Genomic DNA, 21,527 nt, shown 5'->3' with positions numbered 1-21,527 from the left:
AAGAAGGGAAGAACGGATATGGTAGCATTGAAAGAAGCAAAATGGTGATAGGATCATAAGTGAAGTCCCAATGGGGTCAAAGTATTGTTGGAGTTGGAGAAATGAGAGGGAGAATGCCAAGATGGTGGTGAGGAGGAGAGTGAGTTGTGGCAATTGATGTTATGTCAGGGTTGTTGTTACTTGGTTGCAACGTCAAGGATATGACCACAGAAGTGAGCCGCTGAGGTAGGGCGGACAAGGGGGTCATTGGAGGAGAGGTCGTCTAAGTGGACATTGAAATCACCAGGAATTGGGGCAGAAGTGTATTGCCTAGAGTGGCAGTGTATCTCTGCAAGGAATGGGGGTGTGACCCCAGAAGATGACTGCTTACGAAGTGGAAAAATGTGTGGAAGAGTCTGATAATGGCGTGAGATTTGTAGCTGGATGTATCTGTGAAGATGAAAGGGAAGATGGTTTGAAGCAGTGATGAGGAATGAGGAAGAGACCTACTCCACCCCTAGTTTCAGTGGCACAAAGGTTATAGGAGAGAAAACACCATTTGAGATGCTCAGGGAAGGCCGAGTCCCAGGGAGCCAGGTTTCAGTGAGAAGAAGACGACAGGGAGGTCCCGGATAAGTTTATCGAAGGCTCTCACATTCTCCGCCAAATGACAGCCTGTAGGGGGTTGTTCAGACAAAGCTTTTCAGTTGATTCAGCAAACACAGTCATCTGACCAGTAATAAGAGGTGTCTTTTTTTGTTTTGTTTTTGGCTTAAGCAACAGAAGTTTATTTTCTCACAGTTCTGGAGGTTGGTAAAGAGTAAAGTGATCACAAGTGCCACAAGCTCCCACCAGCACACTAACCTCTGTGCCCATATACGCTCCCTTCTCCCTTGCTGGTGTGGATGAATTGACCCTCTTCCCAAAGCCCGTGATCCCATCCAACCTTCTCCTACTCACGGACATCACTCTAGCAATTCTGTCCCTCCCCTGTGCTATAAAATTTCCTCTTGTTACCATATTATACTAATCCTCATAAAGCATACTCTTATTTCCCCCATCCCAAAAACGATTCCTTCCTGACTCCACTTACCCCTCCGTCTGCTACCTCATCTATCACCTTCCTTTTATAGCAACATTCTTTCAAAATGATGTGTCTAGGTACTGCTTTCAGTTTATGTTTTCTCATTCATTAACGCATTCCAAAGAGGTTCTTTCTCTTAACACTACTGACAAGTTTTTGTTTGTTTGTTTTGTTTTGTTTTGAGACGGAGTCTCTCACTGTTGCCTGGGCTGGAGTACAGTGGCGTGATCTCGGTTTACTGCAAGTTCAAGTGATTCTCCTACCTCAGCCTCCCAAGTAGCTGGGATTACAGGCACCGGCCACCATGCCCGGCTAGTTTTTTGTATTTTTAGTAGAGACAGGGTTTCACTATGTTGGCCATGCTGGTCTCAAACGCCTGACCTTGTGATCCACCCGCCTCAGTTTCCCAAAGTGCTGGGAGGCGTGAGCCACCGCGCCCAGTGAGTTGTTTTTTTGACAGAGTCTCATTCTGTCACCCAGGCTGTAGTGCAGTGGCGTGATCACGGCTCACTGCAGCCCCAACCTCCTGGGCTCAAGCGATTCTCCTATCTCAGCCTCCCACGTAGCTGGGACTACAAGCATGCATCACCATGCCCAGCTAATTTTGTTTATTTTTTGTGGAGACGGGATCTCACTCTGTTGCCCAGGCTGGTCTTGAACTTCTGGGCTCAAGCAATTTTCCCACCTTGGCTCCCAAGTGCTGGGATTACAGGCATGAGCTACCGTGCCTCGGCAGAATGGTTTTTGTTTTCTTTGTTTGTTAGTTTTTAAATCAAGGTCACCGATGACCTCCACATTGCTCATTTTAATTGTTATTCCTAGCAACTCTCAATGGCATTTGAAAGTTAATCTCCTCTCGCTCTCTCTCTCTTCCTTAGAAAACTTACCTTACTTGGTTTCCAGACATCATATTTTCCTGATATTTATCCTACCTTTCTGGATGCTCCCTCTTAGTCTCTCTTGCGGGGTCCTCCTTATCTCTCATGAACAGAATTAGTGCCTTATAAAAGTGGCTTAAGGGACCTCCCTTGGCTCTTCTGCCATGTAAGGACACATAGAAGGCACCATCTGTGTAATAGACAGAGACCTCAGCAGATACGGAATCTGCCAGTGCCTTGATCTTGGACTCCCAGCCTCCAGAACTGTGAGCAATCCATTTCTGCAGTTTATAAATCACCCAGGCTGAGGTCTTTTGTTGTGGCCGCCCAAATGGACTAAGTCCCAAGGGCTCAGATTTTGGAGCTTTCTTCTATCCATGTTTTCTCCGTAAGTCATTTCATCCATTTCCATTCTTATGACTTTAAATTCCAAAAATAAGCTGACATTTATTGAGCAGGCTAATAGAAGGGGACTAAATGAGGGTATGGATACCAGGAGACTAGAAATAATGGGGGACTGCAAGTTTTTTTTTTTTTTTCCAGACATGGTCTTGCTCTGCTGCCCAGGCTGGAGTGCAGTGATGCGATCATGGCTCCCTGCAGCCTCCAACTCCTGGGCTCAAATGATCCTCCCACCTCAGCCTCCTGAGTAGCTGGAACTACAGGCATATACTGCCACCATGCTGGACTAATCTTTCTTTCTTTCTCCCTCCCTCCCTCCTTTCTTTCTTTTCTTTTCTCTTTTTCTTCTCCTTCCTTCCTTCCCCTCTTTCTTTCTTTCTCTCTCCTTCCTTCCTTCCTCCCTCCCTTCCCTCCCCTCCCTTCCCTTCCTTCCCTCCTTCCCTCTTTCCGTCCTTTCCTTCCTTCCTTCCCTCCTTCCTTCCTTCCTACCTTTCCTTCCTACCTTTCCTTCCTTCCTACCTTTCCTTCCTTCCTTTCCTTCCTTTTCCCTCCTTCCTTCCTTCCTTTCTCTTTCTTTCTCTCTCTCTTTCTCTCCTTCCTTCTATTCTCCTTCCCTCCCTCTCTCCCTCCTTCCCTTCCTTCCTTCCTTTCTCCTTCCCTCCCTCCCTCCTTTCTTTCTCTTCCTTCCTTCCTTCCTTCCTTCCTTCTTTCTTTCTTGATGGTGTCTTAATATATTGCCTAGACTGGCCTCAAACTCCTGGCCTTAACTGATCCTCCCACCTTGGCCTCCAAAAGCACTGGGATTACAGGTATCAGGCACCATGCCTGACCTGCAGGAGCCATCTTGACATCTGCTTTATGGTATTGTAAACATCTTCAGCTTGTGTCCTGGTAGATATAATGAGAGTTAATAAAAGAGCAGTGAGTAAGTAGAATCACTCTTTGTAGATTTTTTAAGTGCTTGTTTCTAATGCTTCTACTCAGAATATAATCTCCATAATAGCAAGCACCATATCCTGTCCACTGAATCCCCTGTGACTACAGCAGTCCATTGTAGCTGCCCAGTGCAAATTCATTGAATGAATAAATGCTCATGGTGAAAAAATGCTCACAAAGGTTACATCCATCATTAGTGCTTTGTTTTCCATCCAAATAGAGGAGAACAGAATCACAGATAATAGGCAAACTACAGGCCGGGGGCGGTGGCTCACACCTGTAATTGCAGCACTTTGGAATGCTGAGGTGGGCAGATCACCTGAGGTCAGGAGTTCGAGACCAGCCTGGACAACATGGCAAAACCCCGTCTCTACTAAAAATAAAAGAAAGAAAGAAAGAAAAAAAAAGTAGCTGGGCGTGGTGACATGCACCTGTAATCCCAGCTACTCGGGAGGAGGCTGAGGCAGGAGAATCATTTGAATCTGGGAGTTGGAGGTCGCAGTGAACTGAGACTGTGCCATTGCACTCCAGCCTGGGCAACAAGAACAAAATTCCATCTCAAAAAAATAAAAAATAGACAACTACAACTAATTTATTTATATTAGTGGCTTCAATTTTGAGGAGTATTGCGTTAAGAATGGCTTAGCCCAGGGCCCTTAGTGAGTCTCCCACACTGTGTCAGTTTACTGATGATTACTGAAAATAGAGCAATCCAAAGACAGCGCAGCAATTATAAGTTACTGACAAACTCCCGTCACTCATCACTGGTGAAGAGCACCACCAAATTCACCAGATAAGCATCAACATTTTTTTTCTTTTTTATGTGGAAAGAAAGTATAACCTACAGAAAAGTTGGAGGAATAGTCCAACAAACACCCACATACCCTTCATTTAATTGTACTCCGTGTTGGTTGCAAACACCAGGATACTTCATCCCTAAATACTTCACATGTATCTTGTGAGATTAAAAATTTCTTTCTGACATAAAACATTATCACATCTAAGAAAATTAATGTTGGGGGGGCGGGTCTTCGGTTTGCACAGCTAGAGGCCATGCAGCAGCAAAGGATGAGCAGAACCTTGGAAAAAGTGCTGTGCCTGAGGAACAATACCACTTTTAAGCAAGGCTTTTCACTCTTAAGGCTTAGAACTTCAGCAGAGAAGCCCATCTATTCTGTAGGTGGCATTCTACTAAGTACTAGTCGGCCCTACAAGACAAAGCCCACCCACGCCATTGGAAAGTACAAGCACCTAATTAAAGCAGAAGAGCCCGAGAAGAAGCAAAAAGTGGAAGTGAAACTCATTAATTTGGGGACAGATGATGAATATGGGGTTTTAAACATTCACCTGCCTGCATATGACATGACCCTGGCAGAGAGTTATGCCCAGTATGTTCACAACTTCTGCAACTCTCTCTCCATTAAAGTCGAGGAAAGTTATGTGATGCCAACCAAAACCACTGAAGTGTTGTGGTTGCAGGACCAAGGCAGCAAAACGTTCCTGGACTCAGTGCTTACCACCCATGAGCGAGTGGTTCACATCAGCAGTTTGAGTGCTACGTTTGCAGAGATTTTCTTGGAAATAATCCAAAGCAGTCTTCCTGAAGGAGTCAGATTGTCGTTGAAGGAGCACACTGAAGAAGACTTCAAGGGAAGATTCAAAGCTCGACCAGAACTGGAAGAACGGTTGGCCAAGTTGAACTAGCTACTGTAGACGCTTTCATGCCAGCACTGGTCATATTGCGTGCCAAGGAGAAGAGCTTACTGGGTGGTCAGAGTTCGTCAGGAGACCTGACCCTTAGATTTCATAAGTGCCCATTCCCATACCCAGTAATGCCTTCACTCCTCTGTAGCATGGCTGTACTTGCCATTTGTTACTGCTTACCTAACCCTTGTTATCCTCCATCTAATACAAATCTGCTGCTAACATGTATTTTAAAAAAAGAAAATTAATGTTAATTCAATATCCTATGATAAAATAGTTCCTATTTATATTTTCCTAATTGTTCCCAGAATGCCCTTAATAGCTGTTTTTTTTGTTTTTTTAAAACCATTGTGGAAGTCAGTGTGGCGGTTCCTCAGGGATCTAGAACTAGAAATACCATTTGACCCAGCCATCCCATTACTGGGTATGTACCCAGAGGATTATAAATCGTGCTGCTATAAAGACACATGCACACGTATGTTTATTGCGGCACTATTCACAATAGCAAAGACTTGGAACCAACCTAAATGTCCAGCCAGCAATGATAGACTGGATCAAGAAAATGTGGCACATATACACCATGGAATACTATGCAGCCATAAAAAATGATGAGTTCATGTCCTTTGTAGGGACATGGATGAAGCTGGAAACCATCATTCTCAGCAAACTATCGCAAGGACAAAAAAACCAAACACCGCATGTTCTCACTCATAGGTGGGAATTGAACAATGAGAACACATGGACACAGGAAGGGGAACATCACACACCACACCAGGGACTGTTGTGGGGTGGGGGGAGGGGGGAGGGATAGCATTAGGAGATATACCTAATGCTAAATGACGAGTTAATGGGTGCAGCACACCAGCATGGCACATGTATACATATGTAACAAACCTGCAGGTTGTGCACATGTACCCTAAAACTTAAAGTATAATAATAAAAAAATGAAAAACAACAACAACAACCACCACCACCACCACCCAGGATCCAATTAAGGTTCAAGTGCTACTTTGGTCTATGTGTCTTTAGTGCCTTTTAATTTAGAACAATCTCCTCAGATTTTTTTCATGGTACTGAAATATTTTGAAGCATCCAAGACAGTTGTTTCATAAAATGTCCCACATTCTGGATTTGTCTGATGGTTTCCAAGTGATTTAACCTTTATTTATTTATTTACTTTTTAGCTTTGTTAAGAGTGTTGAACAGGTGATGTTGAGTATCTTATTGAATCACACCAGAAGTGAACAATGTCACCTTTTTTTTTTCATATTGGTGACACTAAGCCTGATCACTTGGTTAAAGTGAATACTTAAATTCTTTTTATATTCATGAAACATATTTCCTTCCTCTCTCTTCCTTCTGTTTTCAGGAACCCTACAGTCACCAAGCACTCATATCTGACAAATCAGCATTTATCTTTTTACCTTCCTGGCATCTGGCCCATCCAGTCCTCACTCCTCCAACCCCCTCTGCTGCACTAGGCTCAGGTTATAAGGTCCAGATCCAGACAAAAGTGACTGCATCTTGTAAAGGACCCCAGCACCCCTTGGGCTTTGCCTGAGTGTTGTAATTGGCATGACTGTGCTGGAGAGCACGCCTTGTCTTGGCCCTGGGGACCTGAGCACAAATTCTCTTTTTAAGATGTGTGTGTTAGGCTCTCCAAAAGATATCCACATCTTAACCCTGGACCTGTGAGTGTTACCTTATATGGCAAAAAAAAAAAAAAAAAAAAGACTTTACAGATGTAAAGTTAAGGATCTTGGGATGAGGCAATTATCCTGGATTCTCTAGGGGTATCCTAAATGCAATCACAAGTGTCTTTATAAGACAGAGGCAGAGGGAGACTTCACACAGACAGAAGAGGAGGAAGCCGTGTGACCTTGGAGGCAGACATTGGAGCCATGCGGCTCCAAGCCACAGAATTTTGACAGCCAGAAGAGGCAAGGAATGGATTCTCTCCTGGAGCCTCTGGAGGGACTGTGGCCTTGCTGACTCCTTGATTTCAGACTTCTCATCTCCTGCACCGTGAGAAAGTGCACAGTAACGTGCTACAGCAGCAACAGGAAACGGATATAGTAAGTGAAGAATTTGAAAAGAAAATTGAGACTTGGGATTGAATTTTGATTTTGTTATTTGCTAGTAGTGTAATTTGGGGCATATTGCTTGATTTCTCTCTCAGGCTTTTTTTTTTTTTTTTTTTTGAGATGGATACTCGCTCTGTCACCCAGGCTGGAGTGCAGTGGTGTGATCTCAGCTCACTGCAACCTCTGCCTCCCGGGTTCAAGCAATTCTGCCTCAGCCTCCCAAGTAGCTGGGATAGCAGGCGCCACCATCATACTTGGCTAATTTTTGTATTTTTAGTAGAGGCAGGGGTTTTCACCATGTTAGCCAGGCTGGTCTCGAACTCTTGACCAAGCCTTCTGCCCGTCTCTGTCTACAGGTTTGAGCCATGGTGTCTGGCCTTCTCTCAGATTTTTTTTTTTTTTCAAAATGGGGATAATAGACATTATTTATTTATTTATTTATTTATTTATTTATTTATTTATTTAAATTTTAGAGATAGGGTCTGGCTCTGTTATCTGAGCTGGAGCGCAGTGGTACAATCATAGCTCACTGCAGCCTCAACCTCCTGGGCTCAAGTGATCCTCCCACCTCAACCTCCCAAGTACCTGGGACTACAGGTGTGCACCACCACACTCGGCTAATTTTTGTATTTTTTTTTTTAATTTTGTAGAGATGAGGTCTTGCTATGTTCTCCCTGCTGGTGTCAAACTCCTGGCCTCAAGCCATCCTCCCACCTTGGGCTCCCAACTTGCTGGGATTACAGGTGTGGGCCAGTGCACCCAGCCATCATCTTTTAGAGTTACTATAAGTTTTAAGTGGCACAATATAAATGTGTGTGTAAAGCACCTAGTAAAAGGCTTGGCACATAGTAGATACCCAATACATGAGATATCTTGGCCCTCATTAATTAATTCAATAAAGGTATATTAGTCCCTATTATGTGCAATACTACTGCCTTTAAGGAGCCTACATTCTGGTGAGGGAGACCAAAAATAAACTAATAATAAGTATATAGTACACTAGATAGTAGTAAATGCTTTTAAATTCCTCTTTTTTTTTTTTTTGAGACAGGGTCTCACTGTGTCCCCAGGCTAGAGTGCATTGGTGTGATCATAGCTCACTGCAGCCTTGACCTCCTGGGCTCAAGTGATCCTCCCACCTCAGCCTCTTGAGGAGCTGGGACTACAGGCACATGCCAGCATGCCCAGCTAATTTTTCTGTAGAGATGTGGTCTCATCATGTTGCCCAGGGAGGTCTGGAACTCCTGGCCTCAAGTGATCCTCCCGCTGCGGCCTCCCAAAATATTGGGATTACAGGCATGGGCCACCAAGCCCTGCTGCTTTTAAATTCTTGACTCTGCAAAAGTTGGAGATAAGGCTGTAAACAGTACAGGATGCAATTCACCCCTAGGAAATGGCAGAAAATAAACAGTGACAAACAACCCACTAGGTCATGGCCCACAACTCTATGTTAATACTTCTCTATTATTTGTAGTTACTGCAAAATAATTTCCATTTGCTTGCTTGAAGTGTTACTTTTTAATAAACCTAAAAGTATTCATTTTAAGTGATACAGATATGGGTAGATATGATGAATGGAACAGGTAGTGCACATAAACACTTTCAAACTTGTACCATACACAAGACACCTAAAAAGTTACATTTGACCAAACCTTAAATTTTGATACCCTAGTCATAGGGTATTTAGAATTTCAAATCCAATCCAACTTTGAGATAACTATTTTCACTGGAACCATTATTATGTGTTTTGTTACAGGTTTTATGGAGAACATTCTCAGGCACTGAAAATTACTTAAAATTCCCATAAACAAACAAACAAACAAAACCCTCCATTTGAAGAGGCATTAGTTTCAGGAATAAATTACTTACATAAACCTACACAAAGTGTTAATGTCAGGCTTTTACTTCACTTAATTAAAAAAAATTATAGGCTTATGTGTATCATACCATGTTTAAGACAATGTCGCCAAGCCAACCGAAATAAACACAAAACTATGCTCCTTTAATGTAAACAAATTTGACCAAAATTTAAACAAAAATCAGCAATATCCATTGAAAACCACAAGAACTCAAGGTAGCTCTGGGATGTCACCAGTCAAAAAGTATCCTTTCCCACTGCTAGGGTTCAAAATATCTTTGTGAAAATGTGCATAGGGCTGGGGAAGGTGGCTCAGGCCTGTAATCCCAGCACTTTGGGAGGTGAGAGGATCCCTTGAGCCCAGGAGTTTGCGATCAGCCTGGGCAACATAGAAAGACTCTGTTTCTACAAAAAAAAAAAATTTTTTTTCTTTTTCTGAAACGAAGTCTTGCTCTGTCGCCAGGCTGGAGTGCAGTGGTACAATATCGGCTCACTGCAACCTCTGCCTCCCGGCTTCAAGTGATTCTCCTGCCTCAGCCTCCCGAGTAGCCGGGACTACAGGCATGCGCCACCACGCCCGGCTAATTTTTGTAATTTTAGTAGAGACTGGATTTCACCAGGTTGGCCAGAATGGTCTCAATCTCTTGACCTCGTGATCCACCCTCCTCGCCCTCCCAAAGTGCTGGGATTATAGGCGTGAGCCACCGCGCCTGGCACCCACAATTTTTTATTTAATTAGCCAGGCGTGGTGGTGCACGCCTATAGTCCCAGAGACTTGGGAGGCTGACGCGGGAGGAATGCTTGAGTCCAGGAGGTCGAGGTTTCAGTGAGCAATGATTGTGCCACTGCACTCCAGCCTGGGCAGCAGAGCGAGACTGTGTCTCAACAACAACAACAAACGTGCACAGCAGAAGATTTGCAAAGTTGCAACCCAGAGTCTTGCTAGGATATTGATTCCAAATCTTTTTTTTGTTTGTTTGTTTGTTTGTTTGAGAAAAGATCTCACTCTGTTACCCAAGCTGGAATGCAGTGGTGTGATCACAGCTCACTGCTGCAGCCCCGACCTTCTGGGCTCAAACATTCCTCCTGCCTCAGCCTCCCAAGCAGTTGAGACCACAGGCGTGCACCACCATACCTGGTGGCTATTTTTTTAAAAAAATTTTTTGTAGGGATGGGGTCTGGCCTTGTTGCCCAGGCTGGTCTTGAACTCCTGGGCTCAAGAAATCCTCTCACCTTGGCCTCCCAAAGTGCTGGGATTACAGGTGTGGGCCACAACACTCTTTAGTAAATTAATTTTGATATATCAATACCAAGGTTAATAATGTTTAATAATTCATTTCACTGGCCAAGCTCGGTGGCTCACGCCTGTAATCCCAGCACTTTGGGGAGGCCGAGGTGGGAGGATCACGAGGTCAGGAGATCGAGACTAGCCTGGCCAACGTGGTGAAACCCCATCTCTACTAAAAATAGAAAAAATTAGCCAGGCGTGGTGGCTGGCGCCTGTAATCCCAGCTACTCGGCAGGCTGAGGCAGGAGAATCGCTTGAACCCAGGAGGCAGAGGTTGCAGTGAGCTTAGATAGTGCCACTGCACTCCAGCCTGGGCGACAGAGCAAGATTCTGACTCAAAAAAAAATAAAAATGATAAAAAAAATAATAATTCATTTCACTGGTTACCATTAACAGGGGCTTAGTCATACATTCAAATGAAGCCATGGGGCTTCAGAGCAAAGAAAGAACTACTCCTCAAGATCAGCTGGGCAAGGTGGCTCATGCCTGTAATCCCAGCACTTTGGGAGGCCAAGATGGGAGGATCAGGAGTTGAAGACCAGCCTGGGCAACATAGCAAGACCCATTTCTACAAAAATAAAATAAATAGCTGGGCATGGTGGTGTGTGTCTGTAGTCCCAGCTACTCAGGAGGCTGAGGCAGGAGGATTGCTTGAGCCCAAGAGGTCGAGGCTGCAGTGAGTTATGATTGTACCATTGCACTCCAGCCTGGGCAACAGGGCAAGACCCTGTCTCTGAAAAAAAGACTCCTCAATGTGATCCTTGTGGCTGAATTTGAAAACTAAGTCAGCCATACTGGAGGTGGTTGACCAAACCAGCCTGACCCTGAGGTAGACATTGGTCTTGAGTCACCACAAAGGGATGTTGGTCTGAGGAGGCCAAAAGTTGACCTACTTAGAGCTCCACTGGATTCAGAATGACCTTCAGGTCCCTTTCCTTCATCAGACCTGTCTGCCCTGTTGGTCTGGTGTTCCTTACCTCATCCTGATAATATACACTACTGCCTGGAGAAACTTAAGTCTCTGGTTCCTGCAATCTATAATTTCATAAGTAATAAACTTGCATTCTTAAACTTGGTTTTGTCTTGCCCATTTCTTTTTCTTTCTTTTCTTTTTTTTTTAAGATGGAGTCTCGCTCTGTTGCCCAGGCTGGAGTGCAGTGGCACGATCTTGGCTCACTGCAGCCTCCATCTTCTGGGTTCAAGCCATTCTCCAGACTCAGCCTCCTGAGTAGCTGGGACTACAGGTGCCCGCCACGATGCCCGGCTAATTTTTGGAATTTTTAGTAGCGACCGGGTTTCACCATGTCAGCCAGGCTGGTCTCAAATTCCTGACCTGAAATGATCCGCCCGCCTCGGCCTCCCAAAGTGCTGGGATTACAGGTGTAAGCCACCACGCCTGGCCTGCCCATCTCTTTTTCACTTGAGCCAAAGCTATTTCTAGGAAGGCAGTGGCATTTCCTGAGCTAAAATCATTTTCCCATTCCTGAGTCACATTTCACATGGTCCCAGAGGTGAATTTAGTGGATTACATTTTAAAAAACAAACAAAAACCTCAGAGCCACACATAGACCAGGTTTTGCCTTCTTCCTCTCCAACTCCCACTATTCCTTCCTTTGCACGTTTGCTGAGCCATACGGAAGTGCATGGCCAACAGAGAAGAAAAAGGTTGATTAGTAGTAAAGAAGCCCTGCTGTTGCCTTGAATGTCAGCACGTGCACACACACACACAGGTGCGCGCACACACGGGCACACACAGGTACGCGCACACACACAGGTGCAAGCACACAGGTGCGCGCACACACACAGATGCGCGCGCACACACAGGTACGCGCACACACACTTTTATACCTGTCCATTGCCAGTTTCTTTTGGTTCTTCAGGATTGCCCTTAGTGTTCGTTTTCATCTGATGTTGCCTAGACCAAAATCCTGGAGGAAAGAACCTGATGAACTAGGTTTTGAACTCCCCCATGCATGACCCCTGCCTGTGGGGTCTGCCCTAGATGGATAATAAATAGGTCATTATCAGTCTCATTTCAGTGTCCACAGTGGAGAGATTTTATTCTTCCCCTTGCTCTGGAACTGGCCCCTTTTCTCCTCCAAATCCCAATCTTGGCCTAGAATTTTGAACTCTGCTTAGAATTCCAAATTGCCACATATATATGTCAGGAGATCAGACAGAGTTAGCTGAGCAGGGAACAAGGCCGTGCTTTTCAGAAGTATGTAGGTCTGCTTCACAAGAATATGCCATTAACAATATGGACAAGGCTCACCATAAATTTATGAGTGAAACAACTTATTCCAACTGCTCTCATGCCTGGCTTTATACAGTCATCTACTTGTCCTTCCCTGGGCCCAGCCAATGCTGCTCCCCCTTTAACAACTGCTTCTGAATGTCCCTGTGGTGTGGGCCAGAAAGGAGACTCTCTTCTTCCCCAAATCCACCTGCAGTATGGCAGAAACTAGAATTCATGGTCCTCTCCCAACCCATGCCCACTTCCTTCTGCCACTTAAAGAAAACACCCATAAAGGGTGGGAAGAGAGAGCGTAACAGCAAGGTCTGTGCATTCCCAGAGATGTGATGCAAGGGGTGTGGGAGGCATGGCACTGCTTGACTCACGCTGGAGAGCGGGCACTTGGCCTGGCTTTCAGAGGAAATGCTCCTTGGAATGCGGTCGGCCCCGGCTGCACCCACGCCTGTGAGGGAGGGGCTTATGTGTCTGGCACATCATAGGTGGCTCCTGGGGTTTGCCATGAGTCTCAGCACAGCAGACCTGAGAGGAAAAAAATACAGACTGAACGCGTTTCTTCTATTCTCTCACCCAACACAGAAGACTTCTGTGGCCGCATGTGTGGGGTTTTTTTTCCCCACATACCAAGAAGCAAACAATTCTTCTGTGGACTCTAGCCGAGACTCTTCCAATTCAATTCAATTCAGACACTAGCTACCTAGAGATAGTGTAAGAAGGCACAGGTTGAGGACTCATTCCCCAAGACCACCCCTCACTCCTGATGCCAACTGCAAGCTCCACGTTGTTTTATCTGTGCATCTGACTGGCTATAAATCAGGGGTCCTATGGCCCCCTCCGGTGGCCCTTCCTTGGGTTTGATTAATATGCTAGAGCAGCTCACAGAACTCAGGGAAACACCGATTTATTATAAAGGATATTACAAAGGATAAAGATTAATAGATGCATAGGGTAAAGTATGGGGGAAGGCAGAAGCAGTTTCCACGTCCTTCCCAAGCACCACACCCTCCAGGAACCTCCACGTGGTCAGCTACCCAGAAGGTCTCCAAACATGGTTCTTTTGGGCTTTGATGGAGGCTTTATTATGTAGGCATGATTGATTAAACTCTTGGTCATTGGTGATTAACTTTACTTCAGCCCCTCTTCCCTTCCCAGAGGTTGGGGGATGAGGCTGAAAGCCCCAACCCTCTAACCATGGCTTAGCCTTTCCCATGACCAGTCTCCGTTCTGAAGCTACCGATGGGCTGCCGGCCATCTGTCAACTCATCAGCACACAAAAAAGACATCACTTTGGAGATTCCAAGGAATTTAGGAGTTGTACACAGGGAAACAAGGTGGAAGATGAAATATATATTTTTCAATATCGCAGTAGGGTACAGTAATTTTTTAAGCCAATCCTTTCAGTCCAGTGAAAGATAACTGGAATGAACAGCTCCATTACTCTTACCAATATAGGCAAAATAGGCTCGTGCTGTCTTGGAGACTAGCTGAGCAAAAGCCACCTCAGTGTTCAGCGTAGGGACCCAGGTCCTGGGGAGGAGGTGGGCCAGCACATGAGAACAGGACATTGTTTTTGGGGAGCGGAGGTAGGGCCCGGTCACTCAATCCCTGTTCCCTACAAATCAACTTCAGGATTCCTGGCAAAGTGGCCCAGAGCAGCCCCAATTAAAGCCAGGTGCTGGGAAGGGCAGTAGGACAATTCAAGTAAAGCCACTCTGACGGGAGAGAGAGGGGGGCTACAGGCTAACCCCGGTGTCAAGGAGCCCGCGGGAAGAGGAGGTGGAAGTGTGAGTGCCATGGGGTTGCTGACACTGGAGCAAGTTCTCACTGTCCCTCTGGGGCTTGCCTGCCTAAAGGAAGTGTCCCATGGAATGAAGGAGGTTTGTTTGCGAGTTGTAAGGCATGGGACTCAGGCCTTCTGGGGCTCCACGCCCGCCCCTCTGAGGCAAACCCCACCAGCCCTGGAAGCAGCCTGCACCTCACCTTCCTGAACATCAAAGCTTTTGATTGGCTATTGCTAAACTTTCTTCCTAGAAGGCTTTACCAATTCATACACCTACCACAAGTGCATCATTCTTTTTCATTTTTACCAACCTGAAGAAGGGAAAGGGCTCTATTGTTTAATTTACATTTGATCACTACTGAGTGTGAGTCTATTACCATATGCTTTTCTCTCTTTCTCTTGTCCCTAAAATTCCATTTCTGGGAATATAATCTAAAGAAATTCTCAAAAAGATAGATGTTCAAGAATGTTCATATGGCATAGTTTATTTTTTATTTTTATTTTTTATTTTTTATTTTTGCAGGAGACCGGAGTTTGATGATTACTTAAATTAGTCTCCTCAAGCATTCGGGGAGCAGAGTTTTTAAGGACAAGTTGGTGGGTTGGGGGAAGCCAGTGAGCTAGGAGTGCTGACTCGTCAGAGATGAAATCATAGGAAGTCAGAGCTGTCTTGTTGTGTTCAGTCAGTTCCTGGGTGGGGGCCACAAGATCAGATGAGCCAGTTTATTATCTGGGTGGGGCCAGCTGATCTATCAAGTGCAGGGTATGCAAAATATCTCAAGCACTGATCTTAGGAGCAGTTTAGGGAGGGTCAGAATCGTATAGTCCTACGGCATTGTTTATAATAGAAGCAAAAATAAAAATAATACAAATGTCCATAAATAGGAAGCTGGCTATAGAAATTATGGTGTGTCCATACTGCAGAGGACCATGCGGTTGGTTATAGATTGAAGTTGACCAGCAGAGACAAAGAAAGACCTCAGGAACATGTAGGTAAATGAAAAAGATAATATGTATATAATATGTAACAATATACTAATATATCCCACTTATGTTTTTTAAATGTTTGCATATATATAATATGTACATAAATTCATAGAAAAGAAACTAAAGGGAAGTGAAAGTATTGATGGTGAGTAACTTTGGTAAAAGAAGGTCCAGGCATGTGGCTCATGCCTATAATCCCAGCACTTTGGGAGGCCGAGGCAGGATAATTGCTTGAGGTCAGGAGTTCGAGACTAGCCTAGGTAACATAGTAAAACCCTGCCCCTACAAAAAATTAAAATATTAGCCAGGTGTGATGGTGCACATAGTCCTGTCATCCTAGCTACTTGGGAGGCTGAGGCAGGAGGATTGCTTGAGCCCAGGAATTTGAGGCTACAGTGAGCTATGATTGTGTCACTGCACTCCAGCCTAGGCAACCGAGTGAGACTCCATTTCTAAAAGAAATTAATTAATTAATAAAAATGAAGAGAATGCTCAGCAGACTTCTGAATTCTTTGAGTGTTCACAAGAAAAATAAATTCATGTATCACATGTCCTATAAAAGAAAAAGGGGTTGGGGTTGCTTTTGCATATAAAGCAAGCTAGTTTCAACCGAACTCTCTGTCCACTGGAGAAAAGTGCTTGCCACAGAAAACTGTTTTTCTGGTTCACTGAGGTATAATTGACAAATAACAAGTACATATATCCAAGGTGCACAATGTGATGTTTTGATATAAGTATACACTGTGAAAGGATTATTACAACCAATTTGTAGTAATTAACTTGATGAATTAACATATTCATCAAGTATATAGTACATTATTATTAACTGTAGTCACCATGCTGTGCTTTCCATCTCAGAAAACTTAGAGTATTACCCTAAAGTTAACTATGACCATTTAGAAGTTTGCTTTAAAACACTGCTTTTCAAATTTTACTGTGGAAACAAATCGCTTGGGGATCTTGTTAAAATTTGGATTCTGAATCAGTAGGTCTAGAGTGGGGCCTGAGATTCTGTCTTTCTGACAATCTCCCCAGGTGACACCAATGCTGCTGGTCCCTGAAGCACGCTTTTGGTGGCAAGGTTTCCAGAGAGCTGAGGCTCCTGTATTTCTTTACAATCCAGACATCAGTTTCCCCTCCTTGTCATCACAATTCAGTGCATTTACCATTATATGGGGCTTTATATCCCTAGAGAATCAGAACACATGTTGTGGAAAATTGGCTGAGTTGCATCAAAATGCATTGGTTTGGCCTCAGACGTGTTGCCTGTATCTGTAGCTGTATTTCAGTTCCAATAAATGCATGTGTGTGGGTCTCAGGTAAACATATTGGTTTAAATGAAAATTCACTGCTTGGGAAACAAAAATAGGATTGCAATGAAAACACATTGCATTAAGTATTTTACATAATTCCCACAAACAGATGCTAGGAAATAATGTTTTGGTTTCAGTGGCAGTTCATTGAATTCACTGGTATGCTATTTGTATCTCTGAATATGTATGAGTTTTGATGAAAATGCATTGTGGAAAGAAATCAGTCAAGCTCTTCCTATACAGTCCAGCTATAATGTTCTTGTAAATTTTATGTTGCTATACCATCTTTTGTCTTGTTTATGAATACATATTCTTTTTAATGTTCCATATTGCTTAGTGTTGCAGTAAATATAACCATTTTGTTTGTGTCTTGAGTTTCTCATGTAGTGGATACATACACTGAACATTAAAGAATATAAATGTGACTAAAATCTGTTATATTAACTAGAAGATGCCTTTATTTTTTATCTCAAAATATTATTATTTCTGCATTGACTTTTATATAGAAAGAGACATTCTAAAAATTATTGGACTAAATCTAGAATCAATTTTGAAATCATAATACCATACACTAAACAGATGGAAATATCGGCAATATTTGATCAAATACTTGGTGTAATTACAGTAAAGCAATTTACAGAACTGATGAGAACAGAATTACAATTTGTATCAAATTAATGCCCTGAAACAAAACTACATTAATTGTTATATCATGTTAGTGATCTCTGTTGCTACCCAAAGACTAAATGGTCGGGGGAGGAAAAGGGGCAAGAAATTTAATTTCATTTAAATTGTGACAGTGTTCCTATACAGTATTTTATTCACTTGAATGGGTCAAAAGAATACCGCATGCTCAGCCAATTATCTGCTATGCAAAATTATTCTTAATTCTATGTGAGAATTGTAGACAGTGGGTTGAGGAGGTGGAAGTAAAAGCTGCATAGATGCAAATAGTTAAAGGTCGTTATCTACGTACCAAATCTAACTCGAGAAGAAAATCTTAAGATACTGTTTTATAGCTGAATGTGCTTCACCCACAGAGGAGCTCAGCGTTATCCCTGGGCCTTGGAAATAAGGGTGCAATGGACTGAATGCTTATCTCCCCTCCAAATTCATACACTGGTATTCTAATCCCCAAGGTGATGGTATTAGCAGATGGGGCCTTTGGGAGGTGACTAGGACATGAGGGTGGAGCACTTGTGAGTGGGATTAGTGCCCTTACAGAGAGACTGCAGAGAGCTCCCTTGCCCCTTCCACCATGTGAGGACACAGGGAGAAGATGGCTGTCTGTGAACTGGGAAACAGGCCCTCATCAGACACTGAGTCAGCTGAGGTATTGATCTTGGACTTCCCAGCCTTCAGAACTGTGAGAAATAAATTTCTGTTTAAAAGACACCCAGTTTCAGGTATTTTTGCCATAGTAGCCCAAACAGACTAACAGTGGATATAATTTTGTTGAGCCAGTTATAAAATCCAAGTCCAAGTCAAAACTGCAGGCTGATATTAGCTGGGCATGGTGGTGCATGCCTGTAGTTCCAGCTACTCCAGAGGCGGAGGTGGGAGGATGGCTTGGGCCCCAGAGGTCAAGGCTGCTGTGAGTGGTGATCACACCAATGCACACCAGCCTGGGGGACAGAGCAAGACCCTGTCTGAAAAACACAAAAATACAAAAAACTTGCAGGCTCCAAAACTACCTGAACTTCAACCTACCTTCTTTCAATACAATGCCCAGAACATAGTCTCTCTCAATGACCCAGTCAAGCTTAAAAAAAAAAAAAAGAAAAAAAAAGCATCACCACTTCTCTCTTCAAAATCTAGCCTTGATATATATTTTGAGGGGATGCATTCTGAAGTGTGTCAGCATGATACATCGTATCATCTGCAACTTACTTTCAAATGGCTTAGGAAAAAAATATGGTATCTGCTGTCTATTTATCTACCTACCTATCTATCAAGAGATAAGCAAACATGATGAAATAATAACAGTTGTTAAATCCATGTGAGGGGTATTTGGCTGTTTGTGTGCTATTTTTCAGCTTTTCTGATTGAGCTTACTTTTTTAAAAAGGCAGGAAAAAGTATGTGGCCTTGACTGTGAAGACAGACAAGAAACAGCTGAGCCCCTCTTGTTTCTCGATACATCAAAAATGCGGGACACATGGTCAGTGCTAATACATAGTCCTTAAACTTAAGAAGTTCCTAAAAATTAACTTTGCTTGTGGAGTGTCAAACCGGAAATCAGTTAAAACAAAGAAAAATTTGAGATTTTTCTGGGGAAAAAAATTTCATCTTGATTTTCTGAGTTACCCCAGCCCACTGTCCCTGAATACGCCTCTTGTCCTGGTAAAGGGTGTCACCCTTGTCCCCCAGGATCTCTGTTTTTCTTTTGAGACAGAGTTTCACTCTTGTCTCCCGGCTAGAGAGCAATGGCACGATCTTGGCTCACTGAAACCTCTGCCTCCCAGGTTCAAGCGATTCTCCTGCCTCAGCCTCCCAAGTAGCTGGGATTACAGGCATGCACCACCATGCCTGGCTAACTTTTTGTATTTTTAGTAGAGATGGGGTTTCACCATATTGAGCAGGCTGGTCTTGAACTCCTGACCTCATGATCCACCCATCTTGGCCTCCCAAAGTGCTGGGATTACAGGTGTGAGCCACTGCGCCCGGCCCAGGATCTCTTATACAGTAGAATTCTACTCTGTTATTAAAGAGGTAAGCATAAGCTATTCCAAAACCAAGAAAGAACACAACCCTAAGTGCCCAGAATGGTGAACAATTAAAGAGCTTTAACTGCTTGCCAGAGTCTTTATGTTACTTACATAGAAACCTATAAAAGAGGCCGGGTGTGGTGGCTCATGCCTGTAATCCCAGCACTTTGGGAGGCCGAGGTGGGTGGATCACGAGGTCAGGAGTTCGAGACCAGCCTGGTCAATATGGTGAAACCCCATCTCTACTAAAAATACAAAAGTTAGCCAGGCATGGTGGCGCACACTTGTAGTCCCAGCTACTCAGGTGGCTGAGTCACGAGAATCTCTTGAACCTGGGAAGTGGAGGTTGCAGTGAGCCAAGTTCATGCTACTGCACTCCAGCCTGGGCAATGGAGTGAGATTGTCAAAAAAAAGAACAGGCCAAGGAAAATAAATGGAGACAGGGTCTGCATGTACTACAGGTGAAAGAAATTTTCAGAAACTACAAAAAAGATTAGCTGGGCCCGTAGTCCCAGTTACTCGGGACGCTGAGGCAGAAGAATCACTTGAACCCGAGAGGCGGAGGTGGCAGTGAACCGAGATGGCGCCACTGCACTCCAGCCTGGGCGACAGGGCGAGACTCCGTCTCAAAAACAAAAACAGAAACAAAAACCTATAAAAGAGAATAGCCCTGTAAGTTTTTGAGAAGTAATGCATTTTGGGGAAGAGTCATGCTCGTTTCCTCCAACCTCTGAGAAAAACACAATTGTTCTAGATACTTCTCCAGTGTTAATTCAAAGATGGCAGTGGTAATACAAAAGTGGCTGAGTCACGTGTCAAGTCAAAAAGCTAGTCTTAGATATGACTTTAAATTTCTCTTTTTCATCCCTTTGGTCCTTTAGAAACATTCACTGGAATGAGTATTAAAGTCTGATAATTTCAGACACTTGTTTATTCTTTGGCCTAAGTATATACCCTCACGGAGTTTTCTGTAATATTCATGTCAGAATCATTCCTTTATAGTTTCTGCAGTCATTGGTTGAGGAATGTCTTATTCATTTCATTCATTCAAAAAGCTTTTATTGAAGCTCTATGATATGCCAGTGTTTGGGAAACGAATGCAATATAAGAGCCTTCCATTACTGACAGATTTTTCTCCTTGCAACTTCTCTGCCTTCCCACTGCCCCAACTTCATGGGAATACCTCCTACAGAAATATGTAAGTTATAGCAGAAGCTCTTTGTTAGAACTCCTAATTCTAATTCGAGATCAATTTTTTTCAACATTTTATTATAAAACCTTTTAAGCATAGCTCAGAATTGAAGAAACTGTACGGTGAACACTCATATGCTCACCAGCTAGATTCAACAATAAACATTCTTCTGTACTTCATTTACTATTTATCCATTTATCCAGCTGTTTATCCACCCACCAATCTATCTTGTCTTTTTTTTTTTTTTTTCTGAGATGGAGTCTCACTCTGTTGCCCAGGCTGGAGTGCAGTGGCATGATCTCGGCTCACTGCAACCTCTGCCTCCCGGGCTCAAGTGACTCTCCTGCCTCAGCCTTTTGAGTAGCTGGGATTACAGGTGTGCACCACCATGCCCGGCTAATTTTTGTATTTTTAGTAGAGACGGGGTCTCATCATGTTGGCCAGCCTGGTATTGAACTTCTGACCTCAGGTGATCCACCCGCCTTGGCCTCCCAAAGCATCTTGTCTTTTTAATGCATTTCTAAGTATGTTGCAGTCAGCAATACACTTCTCCCCATATGTTCCAACATGCATATCTTTTATTAGAGTTCAATGTTGGTTGATTTCTTCTTCTTTTGAGGTAAAATTTAAATACAAAAAATGCACAGTTTATAAGTGTGCCATTCAGCAAGTTGCAAGGAAGGCCATGTATACAAGCAAGGCAAACCCCTGGTGAGATCCAGTACCTTAAGACTGCCCTGAAAGCTCCCCTGCACAGCTGGTCCCCAACCCCATGGCCCAACTCCCAAAGGTAACCCTTTCTCTGGATTCCCCTGCCCCCACCTTAGATTAGTCCATAGATTAGTTTTGCTTGTTCTAGGATGATAAATATATAAACAGTATGTGCTTTCTTGTGTAAGGCTTCTTCCATTCAGTACAACATTTTTGGAATTCATCATGATGTTGTATGTATCAATGGTTCCTCCCCCCACCCCCCCTTTTTTTTTGAGACAGAGTCACCCAGGCTGGAGTGCAGTGGCACAATCTCAGCTCACTGCAACCTCTGCCTCCTGGATTCAAGCTGATTCTCCTGCCTCAGCCTTTC

At 43.7% G+C, this 21,527-nt stretch overlaps 1 long non-coding RNA gene and 1 pseudogene across 1 annotated transcript in view; one reads left to right on the top strand and one right to left on the bottom strand.

The window, feature by feature from the left end:
* Positions 4,300–5,212, top strand: MRPL48P1 (mitochondrial ribosomal protein L48 pseudogene 1; annotated as a pseudogene).
* Positions 8,108–21,527, bottom strand: part of MIR5689HG (MIR5689 host gene) — a 22,453-nt gene continuing 9,033 nt past the window's right edge. The window contains exons 2-4 of the long non-coding RNA NR_132993.1: positions 12,833–12,986; positions 12,062–12,141; positions 8,108–8,453 (exon numbers count right to left, since the gene is read on the bottom strand). This is a non-coding gene — a long non-coding RNA (MIR5689 host gene). The remainder of the gene's footprint in view (positions 8,454–12,061; positions 12,142–12,832; positions 12,987–21,527) is intronic.

This window comes from Homo sapiens, chromosome 6 (assembly GCF_000001405.40).
Source record: "Homo sapiens chromosome 6, GRCh38.p14 Primary Assembly".
NCBI lineage: Eukaryota > Metazoa > Chordata > Mammalia > Primates > Hominidae > Homo > Homo sapiens.
Note: the sequence above shows the minus strand (reverse complement) of the source record. Positions and strands in the feature narration are given on the sequence as shown.